Here is a 14,055-nt window from a genome sequence, read left to right on the forward strand (position 1 = left end):
ACGAAGGCACTGCTTAAAATGAAAGCAAATAAAAAGCCAGTTAAAGAGAAAACTGCAAAAACTGCTCAGCATTTCACCCAAAGACAAGAACACCCCGTACTGGCTGCTCGGCCGTTGCTACTTTTGCAGACAGCTTTTGGCATGCTTTCAGAGGGCTTGAGAAATGATCACTGGTTAGGCAGAAATCGTTCCAAGAAACAGACAGTGACTTTTGCTCTGCTACTTCCTTGCACTATTACAATTTAACTCCTCTTCTGCCTGAGTTATGAAATCCGTAAAATAAGGAAATTGATATTATCATTTTACCGTTTACGATAGTTTCACTCTTTATACCAGCTCTAGCAGTCCAAAAATACAATTCCACTTTTTCTTTTCCAGGTAAGGGCTAGCAAAGTGGTTGCATAACAACCACGACAAAGCAGCTGAACTTTCTCCATCCCTTCTGTTTGCTGGAGCTCTGAGTTTCCCCTAGCCTCTTTCTCTTTGTTCTCTACTGTTTCAGTAGGAACAAAACCTCACTAGCTGGAGGTGATAAGGCAGAGGAAAGGTGAGTCCACCCCTCCCAAAAATCAGACATTCTGACAGCTGGAGTAGAGACCACGGCTGTGTGTGTGTGTGTGTGTGTGTGTGTGTGTGGGTGTGTGTGGGTGTGGGTGTGTGGGTGTGGGTGTGTGTGTGTGATGCCACACTTCCACATGCCTGTGCTCATGGAGAGAAAATGGAGACAGAGTTAAACTTTTGGGAGGAAGGAAAGCAGAAGGAGGCAGGCAGCACTTGGTATAACAGAGTAGAAGTCTACCTAGCCATAAGTTTCACCTTGCCACGTGGGCAGAGAAAAGAACACTCTGGAAGTTCTTTCCTATTCCCTGTACTGTTGCCTCCATTAGCCTCTTACTTGATTCGTTCTCAGTGGCCTGCCCTGTCTCTCCGGCCTGGCTGCCCTGAGTCATCAGTCCAGACAGAAGGCCCTGGGGGCCAAGTCACTTCCCAGGCCTCCCTAGGCCCCTCGTTTGTGCACTGTGTGCTTGGTCCCACCTCCCCTGCAGAGCACCCCACCTGCGTGCTAGTCCAGTGTGGGCCAATGTGTGAGCGTCTGCAGCCTCCCCTCCTGGCCTGAGAGCCCCTGAGACCAGGGACTGCATTCACTGGACCCATCACTGGGTGCCAGCCCCTAGCAAAATGCCTGGAACACAGCAACAGAAACTGTTAAATGTTACAGAGCAAGTGAGCCGGGTTCCAAAAATGAAAAACTGAAAAATAGAAACCCACACTTTCTAATGAAGACTCTGTGTTGGTCACATAGGGCCTGCTGCCCTGGTGGGAAGCTGGACTGAGCTGGGGTCCACTGTGATCTCCAGCAGGGCAGAAACAGCAAGGGCCTTAGGACTCAGGTAATAAACAAGCCCTGACCTTCTGGGGGCGACAAGGATCATTAAGGTTATTCTCCCATTTGCCCACGTTCCACCTGGTGGAGGTGCTCAGTTGGCGAGAATCTTTGGCTCTCCTAAGACCCAAAGGCTTCTGTGAGGTGAGTCAGTGGGGAACGTGGCCTTGTCGACAGAGTGCACTGGCATTACCTGAGATGAGATCCGGGGGGAGTGGCCACAGAAGTGAAATGAGTAGCAAACTACACAGCCTAGAGTCATGCCCACAAGATGTCCTTTTTCCTGCAGGTTCTCCATCCCTAAAATTAACATTGTTACCATCTTTCTCCCACTTCACCCCTCAACTTGGAATATTGTCTAGCAAATACTGCATTGCTGCTTTATTCAGTCACTTTCTTACATTACCACTTTCAACATTTATTAAGCATCTACTATGTGACAGTCACTGAGCTGAGTTCTATGGAGAAAAGACAGAGGAAAAGCAGATTGGCTGCCCCAGAAGCTTGTAGTCAGTCTGGGGAAGTGGAGAAGTTAAATTACCCATTTGTAATCAATAGAATTTTATTAGGCACCTATTAAATGCCAGACACAATGAGAAAGTAGGTTAAATGAAATAATGAAGCCCATAATCCAGTAAAACTGATAAACAAATATGCAAATAGCTATGATACATTATAAGATGCAATATGGTTGGAATAAATGGGTATTAAGCATAAAAACTTCAATTTGCCTGGAGGTTGGGGAAGCCTTCACCATATGAGTTTTTAATTGAGCCTTGGAGAATGAGGGGGAAGCAGTGGGGGCGGCGGGGAGAAGCAGAGGGAGAATTTGGAAGGAGGGGCCTTATGGACCAAGTGTATAGATTCGGTAAGAACCCAGGCCTAAAATACTATTATTTAGAGAATGCCAAGTACACATGGGCTTGGGGGAACCTGGCAGAAAACACGGGAAAGGGGTGCCAGGCTAAAAATAAAATTGGTAATGTACCCCACAAGCAATGGAAAGCCAAGGAAGGCTCTCAGGCCAAGGAATGCAACCACCATGCTCAGGTTGAAGAACAACCATTGACTGAAAGAATTAAAGGTCAGTGTGGGTGAAAAACCAAGTTAAAATTCTAAAGCAAATATTTTGACTCCCATTCAAGTGCTCTTTCCATCACACAAGTCAACCAGGACAAGGCTCAAAAAGAAGCCACCAATCTTTGACCACTGGAAAGTAGCTGGGACCTTCCAAAGGAAGAGATGGGAGGCGAAGCTGTGAGCACAGAAACGTGGGAAGTGACATGTATTCCCAGATAGTGGCCTCTTCCAGGGCAAGGACCATGTCTTACCAATCCGTGCATGGAAGCATCTTGCAAAGGCAGGTGTGAACTCCCTGGGGAGGATTCTCTAGAGAATGAGCAACTGCAGGCTGAGCAGGAGCGTGTGTGTGGGTGTGGAGAGAGGTATCCTCCACTGCGCTGGTCTTTCATGTGGGGTAGCCGAGATCTCCTCCTCACCGCCATCTGCACAATAAGCCTTTGCAATTTCAAAGCACCATCCCACGTTTTCTCACATGTAACTGGCTGGTGGAGCAGATGTTGATGGGGAAGTCCTGCTGAAATGACTAATCACTGTCGACTGCACTGGAAAGAGAACCCAGGCTAGAAGCCAAATAAGGCAAAATGACATCACAGCAGCTTAAGAAAGAAAGGACCATTCATGTCTGACAAGTGTGTGATATTTGCGACTCAGAGCTTTATTAACAGCGACGGGGCCCCAAAGCATTCCTACTTGTCCATCATATAAAAATTTAACAACAATTGGATTCCACAAGTCTTATCAAATACACACACAGACTGTAGTAATTAAGATCCTTCAGGAATTATATTTTACATTTAGTCCTACGTCTAAATTGAAAAAGATTTTCAGATCACTTTCGTGTGCACTGTAGGCTCAACTGTTTTTTGAAACTGCTTTACAATAACACAAATTGTGAGTGTTAACATAATAGATGCAATAATGTCTAATACATTGTTGCTAGGCATTTACAAAAAAGCCAAGCGCTATTAAAGTATGTGGTCAAAAGATTACAATGTAACTGAAGCCACATAATATGTTATAATGAGTATAAATTATGCATTTAATTTTAAAGGTTAGCTATATGTTTAGTAGAGTGCTTTAAAAGCAAAATAATCTGATGACATAAACTTGAGTCATGCAAAAGCAAGTTGGTAAATATCGCAAAATATGATGGAGAACAATTTGGTCTCAGCTCTGGACACCCTAGTACTTTAATTGATAATGTGTCTTCTGGTTTTTTGGTTTAGGATGTTTTGGCATAAATGAAAAAAAGCAAATCAGAAACTTGTTTTATTCCAAGCAGCTGGGGGTGTAGATCTTGACTGTAATAGGCCACAAGGGTCCAGTTACACCAAGACCCTCAAAGAATTCCAAACCTTATTCAGACTGGGCATGCTCTAAGCCACCTGGTAAGGGTCACTCTGACACAAAACCTAGGATTCCTCTTGTTCCAGAATCCCTGAGCTTACCTTGGAGAAAGCAAGGGTGTGTGTGTGTGTGTGTGTATGTATGTGTGTGTGTGCACGCATGCCCATGCACACCCATTCCTCTTTAACTCTGCTTTCTTAGTCAATTGCAATATCCCGCCAAGGCCATGTTAACTCCTCCCTGCCTCTAATGTGGCTCTTTCCTACTTCCACCCAGTGCTTCTGCGACGTGGTTTATCTGCCTCCTTTACGGGAGACAGGGCATTTCAACTGGTACTAACCCTATCAACCATCCCTCCTCACCGGTCCACCTCCCCGTCGCCTCCTTCCAGCGGCATCTCCTCACCCTGCCTCATGCACTGGGGCCACCTCTGCCAGCTTTCCATCATGCAGACACCTCCTCTCCCGCCTCTTTCTTCAGCTTCCTGCCTCTCCTTGGAGAAGACATCTCCTTCCTCCTGCCTTGTCTCCCCTGACCCCCACCATTCAGTGGTGACGATGGGTGTGGCCGTCCTTCCCTTTCAATTCCAGTCCGAGTTCTCTGCCAGTAAGTGGCCTCTCCCTATGCCACCCATGTAAATGACACTTATCAGAGTGTTTCTGCATCATACCCAGCCTGGCCACTGCCAGCGCTCACCCAAGCCTAACTCAGCACCTGCTCCCCTAGCAAATCACAACCTTTCCAAGATCCACCTCTCCCCAGGGGCCATCTTGTTCCCTAATAACCTCCAAATTTCTGATCTCTGTTCTCACAAGGTCCTTCAATTACTCAACCTCTTTATACAACTGGCAGCCCTTCAACCCTCTCCTGGCTATACCGCCAACTCATTCTCTCTGTAACTCACAGCCAGTGCTACTGTTGCCCTTATCAGAGCTCTGCATTCCTCCTACCAATGCCAGTATTTAGCCATGATGGCCAGGTCCCACTCTCCCATTGGTTATGAACTCCTGCCTTAAGAACTCCTAATAGAGTCCACTGTGTTGGGAGTACTGGGTACCTGAGCTGTGTGGTGATACTGAGTTGGGGCGCTCCTGGGCACCACGGCCTCCTCAAGTCCACATGCAGGCCCCTGTGATGGGAGAGAGGCCTTGTAAAGACCCACTCTGCAAAGAAAGGGAATGAGGCAGACATGCCCTAGAGATGACAGAGCCTGGGCCAGTGCATGAGGAGCTGCCAGACAGCTTTCAGGTTCCCATGATGTCAGCCTCCACTTCCTCCTGTTGAGCTCCCCGTGGGTCCCCTGACACCCTACAACAAATCCCACTTCACTTAAGCTAAGTAGGTTTTTGTTTCTCGCCACCAAGCCATCCTTGACTGAGATACCTTCAACACAGCTGCGGGGTCGTCCCTCCCACCCACTTGCTCAGTCTTTTCCCCTGCGGAATCTGCTTGCCTGTTTCTATTGATACAGGCACACACCACACAGAGCCTTAATTTTCACTTGAACAAATGCTGCCTGGCTTTGTCCCAAAGAGAACAAGAGGCAGCCCCATGACTTAATCACACAACAGGTGAGCCAGTCCGTGCCAACGTTTACACCAACTTGTCTCGGACCTGCTGGAGTTATCTGCCTGCCGGAGTTTCCTAACAAAAATCCTAATCACTGGCATTAAATTGTGGAATATCCCAGAAGTTTGCAGCACCCCGGCTCCACAGCAGCAGGAAGCACTCCGGCTTTGAGGGTAGAGTTGTATGCGGAAGGATGACCACAGGGTAAAATGTGTTCAAGCAAACATTCTTCATCTCAAATCACTTAGAACTTCAGCAATAAGATGAATGGTTCCTATGGCAATGGATAAGCCCCAGGTGCCAGCAGAAGACTGTAGCTTTCTCAAAACTCCTTAGGACAAGGGTACCTACTCTCTATCACCCCTGTGCACTGGCCACATTTCTTCTTTCAGCTTTGGTCAAAAGTAAATGTTCTCTTGCACATTTTATGACATTGTCTAGAACATTCTCTTCTGAGACAAATTCACTTCTTTTCCTCTTGGGGGTTTCTGAGTGTACGCTATCTCGTTGTTCCTAAAGATAGGATGCGCCTACAACAATTTTGGATTTTTCCTGTCCAGTGTTGCAGTTTGGGGATATGGAAGGAGGTTGTTCCCATGTGTTTCATTTGATTTGGATCATCCTGTCTTCCTCTCGCTCTCCCTTGCCCTTCACTCTTCCCAAGCTCCCATCCTGTCGTTCACGTTCAGATACGACACGAACCGTCACACAGCTTGTGGATGTGAATGCATCCTTTTAGCAGCACCTCTAAATGAAAGGGGCACACTCGGGGAAGCACTCAGTTCTAACAAATGGAAGGTGGTCTTCCCCGCTGGACAGAATAGACTGCTTTGAGAACCCAGGATCATGTTACACAGTGATGTCCACTGTGTATCCTTTCCTGCAGCCTGTCCTTTGAGGGGCCACACTTTGACATAAAGACTGGTATGCCACATTAGAAAGAGCAAAAACATGTTCTCTATGTTCTTTTTTTAAAAAATTTTCTGGTTGATTCACAGAAGCAGTAATGACCATATGTATAGATATAGCTTCTATGGTACATATTTTTTAATGTGAATAAGAAATAAAGTGATACTGATGGGAGCATGATTTGCATTACACATATTGTCTTAGTCCATTTTGTGCTGCAATAACAAAATATCTGAGACTGGGTAATGTATAATAAACAGGAATGTATTGGCTCATGATTCTGGAGGCTGGGAAGTCCAAGATTGAGAAGCCAACATCTGGCAAGGCCTTCTTGAGTCATCCCATGGCAGAAGGCAGGTGGTAGGGGAGCCCTGACTTGTTTTTTTAATAAAGAACCCACTCCCAGGATAATGAACCCACTTCTGAGAAAATGGCATTAATCCATTCATGAGAGTGGGGCCTCCACGACCCAAACACCTCCCATTAGGCCCCATCTACAAACATCACTGCATTGGGCTTCAAGTTTCCAACACATGAGCTTTAGGGGATATATTGAAACCACAACCCTATCATGCTTGGTTTTATCATGATCACAAACAGGCACTGGCACTGTGCAAGGAAGAGAAAAGGCTGAGTGCATTCATAGGCACGTTTGGTTTAAGTGGCCGATGGTCCAGGCGCCATCTTGCTTCTCTACTCTCCACTGGGGGCCATGAGCTTTGTTTGCTACAACGTACTTTCCTTATTTGTAAATACATGGATTTTTATTTCCCATCTTGTATGCTGTATAGGCTTTCTCCTGTGATATTTAGGATTGTTTTTGCCCATTTTGATTAAACAATTCAGTTTTAAGTTTTCAGTAACAAAATATATCAAATACCTTTACAATGGCAATGCCTGCAAAAAACAAATAATTTGTGGGAAAGTGTCTCCCTTTTTTAACCATTGAAATAATTATTTTTTTATCAAGTTGACACTTAAGGAGCCATGAAAAAGAAATAATCATTTTTTAATTTAGATTTTCATAACCCAAGGTTTCTTGGGAATGTAGCCATGGCCTTATTGCAAAACAGAGCATACCATGAAATCTCAGTTATCCAGAACGGCATTTTCTAGTTAAGCAAACATTGGATGTACTATATGCAAAGAAGACTAAGTTAGCAGTCAGGATACCTGACAATCTATCAGGGCATCACTGCCAGACAGAAATACTGCGTGCAGAGACTGTTCCTTTTGTTCTAATTCTCTGTACGTCAAGCTACCACCTGCCCACGTCTCTGGCATAGCACAGCAAGATCAGCCCACTAGATGGAAGGGCCTTGGGCAAATGACTGGCCCTGATTTTTAAGCCACGTTCCTTCCAGTGGAAAATAATTTCACTAACCTAGAAAGGTATTCCGAATTTATTAACTAAAATATTAGTTTTTCAAGTGTGCACCTCAGGATTGGATTAGGGAAGGAGGCTGAGGTGGCAAAGATAGATGCAGGAAGTACGAGGAGGCTGTTGTGATAATTCAGAGGTGAAGGTGGCTTGGACCAGTGCACTGAGGATAAAGAGAATTCGGATTAGGTGGGTTACAGATCATTGACATTTTCATATAGAATTAGGTTAAAAACCTTATTTGGGCTCAGGGACACTTTTTTTTTCAGTCAATTTGGTTAGCATGAGTCAGACCTTTGGTCAACATTTAACTGACCAAATCCAGTTTCAGGACCTAAGAATTCAATGGTTCCACTGGGAAAAAGCCCCAGGAAGGCTCTGCCTGTCGTAGACAACAGAAGTCTCCCTTACATTCCATTTCACATGTCTATATAGGTATATATGTACACACACACACGGATGTATCGTAAAAGCCACAGAAGATTCACGTAAAATGTTTATGGACCCTGGATATACCTCACAGAAGAGTTTTCTGAATTAAGACTTCACAGAGGCAGTTGAACAAGAAGAAACATGAGCTTTGAAGTCAGAGAGACGTGCCTATTACTAGCTCCGTGACTAGCGAAGATAAGTTACTCAGCCTCTCAGCCTTAGTGTCCTCATAGGTAAAATGGACACAGGATCTACCATATGGCTATTGTAAGATAAAGTACCTAGAAACAGGCCAAGCATGTTGGCTCACACCTGTAATCCCAGCACTTTGGGAGGCCAAGGCAGGCGGATCACCTGAGGTCAGGAGTTCAAGACGAGACTGGCCAACAGGGCAAAACCCTGTCTCTACTAAAAATACAAAAATTAGCCAGGTGTGGTGGCGTGGGCCTGTAATTCCAGCTACTCGGGAGGCTGAGGCAGGAGAATGACTTAAACCTGGGAAGCAGAGGTTACAGTGAGCAGAGATTGTACCACTGCACTCCAGCCTGGGTGGCAGAGCGAGACTCCATCTCAAAAATAATAATAATAATAAAGTACTTAGAAACATAATAGGTCATCAACAAATAGTAGTTGCTGTTTGATTCATTTTGTTGGCTAAAAATAAAAAAATTATTTTGTGATTATTTGCACTCTACCTGCCCTCCTCTCTCTCCTGCTCCTGACCCACTTAGAGAAAGCATTAGGACCACCATCCTTTCCCCATTCTCTACCTTCCCCTCCCCTCTGCTTTGTCTATGTGGACACGGGGGTGAATCTGGGTCTCTTCACATGGGTTTCTGACAGGTGGTCCACTATAGAGGGAGATGGCCAGTAGGAGAGAAGAAAAGGGATTCACAAGGTCCTGCAAAATCACCAAGAACTGGGAAAGATTCCATGTATCCCTTTCCTGCCACAGCCCAGATGGCAGTACTGTGACTTCCCTGTCCTTGACAGCAGTTCACCCATGACGCATGCCCATCTGATTTGTGGCCAGGTGCAGGGAACACACAGAAGAGGCCACTGACCCTCCCATCTGTCCTCCATTCTTGCCTCCAGACCCCTGGAGAATCAAAAACCATGGCCTCCAGGCTGTGAGGAAGATGAGCGCATCTCAGCCCAGGTGCTCCTCAGCAAGACGCAGGCTCAACGCTAAGAAAAACTGGCGTCCTCAACTCCTCCTGTCTTTAGGTTTTCTTAGGGGATATAAGATAGGACTCAGACCCACGTGCCTCAATATAAAATGTAAATTACCATTGGTCAATGGTTCCTCCATGTTAATCCTGGATAGAGGAATAGACCCAAACATGTGAAACCCTGGCCCTTAGAAGGAATAAAGCTTTGCACAGAGAACCATGACACAGAAAATGGGTCCCTGCCCAGAAGAGCTTACAGACTAATACCTATAAGGGCAGAAGCAAAACAGGTTTTCCCCATACGGCATGTTGTTGAGATCTTGCTCTTAATGGTATAAATCTTTGTAAATCCTCCAGATTGAAAGATGAATTGAGGGAAGCGTGGTGTGTATAGCAGAAGGCATTTCAGCCGGCCTGTGGATAATGTGACAAGCCCAGGGACTCATGACCCGAGTAACCATGTGGAGGGTCCTGCCAGGAGGGGCAGGTGCTACTACTGCTGAAGACTGTCCCTCCAGACTGTCCTCTCTGACACTGGCCACTAAGCCCAGGCAGTCGCCCAGCCCACGGCCCACCTCCATGCATCTGTCTCTATTTCCCAAGAAGAGTGTGCCAGATGCCAACTGGGTTATGCTGAGACTGAGCTTGACTTGTCTTGTTCCCAGTGCCCAACACCAAACTGGGCACACACAGTCCGTGCTCAGTATTGATGGCATGAAAAAAATGAATTAACTAATGCACTTGAGAAAACAGCCCCCAAGCCTAACCTTAAACCCTAACCTAACCCTAACCCTTCTTTTTGAACTTTCATTACAGGACAAACATGAGAAGCATCCTTGGTCACTTTTACAAATGAGTATCTTCATTACATCACACTCTAAACATGATCACTGAGTCATAGTTCGTTCAAGTTGGAAGGAATCTCAGATATCTGCTAGCCTGGCCATTTCCTTTAACACGAGAAATGTGATCAATTCCACCAGGCAGCGAATGTCTTAACTACTTGCCGACACAGGACCTTAGTAACCTGAAGACAAATAATGTCCACAAGGCAGCATAAGGACCTCCCAAAATCTGGCCAGACCTGAGGGTGTTCATTAGAAGACCTTTACATTGTAAATCTCTATTTCATTGTAAACTCTACAAGATTTGGAAGTATATTCATGTGTGGGAACCAAATCAGCTAGAATTGTTTTTCAAATTATTAAGGTATACTCACAGCAAGCAATTCTTTTAAATTTAGCTGTCACTGAGGAACTGTTATATGCAAGACTCTCCAAAGGTACTCTAGAGGGATGCAAAGGTGAGTTCAATATCGCTGCCCCCAGAGGCTCCTGATTGTATGCAGGCCAGACAAACATGTACCAACGATCCTGATACAAGGCAGACCACAGCACCTGCTGCAATAGAGAAACAAGGTTCAGAGGGAAAAATAACTTCAAGGACTTGGGCCCAGCAGCTGAAAAGGGAAGGAAGTACCTAGTCCTTGAGAGGCGGGTGGAAATCCAACAGGTACGTGGAAGAAGGCAAAGGCATACCGCATGAAGGAATCAGCATTAGCTAAAGCAAGGGATAAATGGGAATCATTTTTTAAAATTTTACACCAACTGTATGTTGGACACTTTAGAAGTATAAATTCATTTATACTCACAACAACCAAATAAATTAGGTATCACTGCTTCCATTTTTCAGAGGAGGGAACTGGACTTCGGAAAGATTAAAAATGTATCAAATGAGGGTCAGGAGTATATAACGCATACGGGGCAAAGCCCAGATGTGAACCCCTGCAAGGCTGACTCCAATGCCAGGACTTTCTCCACTTCGCCGGCTGCCTCCCTGGGAGGGGGAGATGGCAAGGCATAGTTTAGGGACATTAGCTCCGTGTGGCTAGTTCATGGGGACAGGGGAACTCGGATGGTAAGGGGTTGAGAAAATGAGGAAGATGACAGAGAAAGGAGGGAGGCAGGAGGAAAACAAGATAAGAGCTTTGCTGCTGGTTGTTTTGTAAGATGAAGGAAACTAGAGAAAGTCTCAAGATTCAGGGCTCAGAGGAAAAGGAGGTTTAAGATGAGAAGAAGTGACAGCTGAGCAGGATCGCAGAGAAAGAAGAGAGACCAGGCACCGTGGCTCACGCCTGTAGTCCCAGCTACTCAGGAGGCTGGGGCAGGAGGATCATTTGAGCCTGGGAGGTCAAGGCTGCAGAGAGCTATGATTGCACCACTTCACTCCAGCCTGGGTGACAGTGAGACCCTGTCTCAAAAATAAAAATAAATAAATAAATAAAGAGAAGGTTAGCAGCAAGGGTGGGGGCTTTAGCCTTAGAAAGAATAAGGAACATTTCTCCCCCAAAACAAAATGAAAGAAAAAGAGAATGAGAAATTATCCCCATTAAAAAAAAAAAAAAGTCAGCAATCTCCGTAGTGGGGAGGGGTGGTTTGCTTAGCCAATGCAGTGAAGAGGTCTGTTCTGGAGAGGGGAACGAGCAGGGTCAGTTAGGGCTGGAGGAGAGTGGAAAAGATTTGGAGCAGCTGTCCTGGGAATCTGATAGGGAGCTAAAAACGGAGTCAGAGGACCATGCCTGAAGGCACTGGGAGCGTCCCCAGCAGGACTGGGCAGGGCGTCCAATTACTTTCGGGGCACAAATCTCTTCAGTGGAATTCAGCACTTTGGGATCAGGAGTAGATGAAAGGATTGCCCAGGGAGACACAGGGGAAGGTCAAGAGGGTAAGAAAAGGGAGGTGCTTTTGAGAACTTTGCCAAATCATTTCACCACAAAGGGAGGGAGGGAGGGAACAGATGCAACCAGGACGGGTCCACAGTGCCAAACACAAGGAGGGGCTCCAGGGGCCGCGATAAAGGCGAAGAAGAGGCTTAGCAGGAACGAGTGAGTGGGACCCATGGAAGGACGGGGTGGTGGCTACAAAGCCATTTCCGAGATGGCCATCCGGAGGGTGGAGCCTCCTACGGGGTGTGGCTATGCAGAGTGGCAGAGACGCTGAGGGAAGGGGGTCACTGGGCTTGAAGGGGTCAGGTCAGCCAGGGAGAAGTAGGACCGAGGATCACAACCCTGAAGCCCTGCAGAGGAGGGTAGCAGGGGTGGGGCAGAATGAGGACCAGGCGCCGTGCGGAAGCCACCCACCAAGCTCACACAAGGGATGTGGCTGAACATGTGCTGGGCAAACACTAGAGGGTGAGAGTGGGGCTGACTTAGTAAAAGGGACATGTGGCTTGATTTTTAGTGAAATACCATAGTGTCACAACTAGTGCTGTCTCTGCCCCACGCCAAAAGGAAAAGTCAAGTGAAATAGGCTGGGTAGAATTCCCCCAGGGTAGGCAAAATGCTAGGAATCTGTACAGAGAGGGAGGCCAGAGGGAGTGAAGAAGGCACAGGGCACGGTATGGCGCACGGACGTCCTGGGTGGAAACCTACTAAGGCTGAGCTCTTGAGATTTAGAAAGTGTCTTCTTTGACCCTATGCCTTAAACAAAGCCAGCCCAGCCATCTATCCTGTGTCCAGAACTAACAGTAGAGGGCCTGTAGGTATCTCGACCCCTCCTCACAGCAGAAGCCCGATACTCACCCCTAGGCAGGTGTCTTTTTTTTTTTTTTGAGCGGCGTCTCGCTCTGTCGCCCAGGCTGGAGTGCAGTGGCGCGATCTTGGCTCACTGCAAGTTCCGCCTCCCAGGTTCACGCCATTCTCCTGCCTCTGCCTCCCGAGTAGCTGGGACTACAGGTGCCCACCACCACGCCCACCTAATTTTTTGTATTTTTAGTAGAGATGGGGTTTCACCGTTTTAGCCAGGATGGTCTCGATCTCCTGACCTCCTGATCCGCCCGCCTCGGCCTCCCAAAGTGCTGGGATTACAGGCGTGAGCCACCGCGCCCGGCCTAGGCAGGCGTCTTAACTGGCTCCTCTCCAATGCCTGCACGGGCCAGGTTCCAACCCCAGCCCCCGTGTTCACCCCTCAATTTGAGAACAGGTTTGACTCCACCTCATTTGACCTTGGTCTTCTCTTTTTTTCTTTTTTTTTTTTTTGAGACAAGGCCTTCCTCTGTTGCCTAGGCTGCAGTGCCGTGGTGCAATCATGGCTCACTACAGCCTTCAACTTCTGAGTTCAAGGGATCCTCCACCCTCAGCCTCCCCCAAGTTGCCAGGGCTACGGTTGCTCCCCGCTAAACCTGGCTAATTTTTTTTATTTTTTGTAGAGATGGGCTGTCACTGTGTTGCCCAAGCGATCTCAAACTCCTGGGCTCAAGCGATCCTCCCACCTCAGCCTCCCAAATTGCTGGGATTACAGGCTTGAGCCTCCATGCTCAGCCTAGTACTCTCTTGGACACAGTTTTAGACTCAATGATAGCCTCCACCACCATCCCCTGCCAGGCCTTGCCCACTTCAAGACAGCATTTCATAACAACTAACATTTAGCACTGCTCAGTACATGCAAGGCATGGGCTAGAAAAGGCCTTGAAAGTCCTTCCGTTCCATTCCGATTCCTCCTATAACCTTTCCACCAAAAACTGACGCAATGCTGCTAGAACATCCCAGAGCCTGGGAAGTCACTCCTCCTGACACTGTCCATCTCACTGCAGAGTGAATGAATGGCTCTGCTGGAAACTCTTCGCTACTGAATCCTTGTTCTTTCCTCCACAGTCATGCAGAACAAGCGTCATTTCTTTCCCATCTGATAGGAATCTGAAGATGACCATCCTATCTCAACAAAGCCTCCTCCTTTCCAGGAGAAATACACCTCCAGGTCTTTACACTTCTGCTCGTGAGA

At 46.8% G+C, this 14,055-nt stretch overlaps 1 annotated feature.

Annotated features, from left to right (window-relative positions):
• Positions 3,008 to 3,057: an enhancer, noted in NCBI's record as "active region_23932". NCBI's record gives its function as "activates an Ori minimal core promoter by ATAC-STARR-seq in GM12878 lymphoblastoid cells {active_cell/tissue: GM12878}" and the evidence as "EXISTENCE:reporter gene assay evidence [ECO:0000049][PMID:35858748]".

The sequence above is a fragment of the Homo sapiens genome, chromosome 6 (assembly GCF_000001405.40).
Source record: "Homo sapiens chromosome 6, GRCh38.p14 Primary Assembly".
Taxonomy (NCBI): Eukaryota; Metazoa; Chordata; class Mammalia; order Primates; family Hominidae; genus Homo; species Homo sapiens.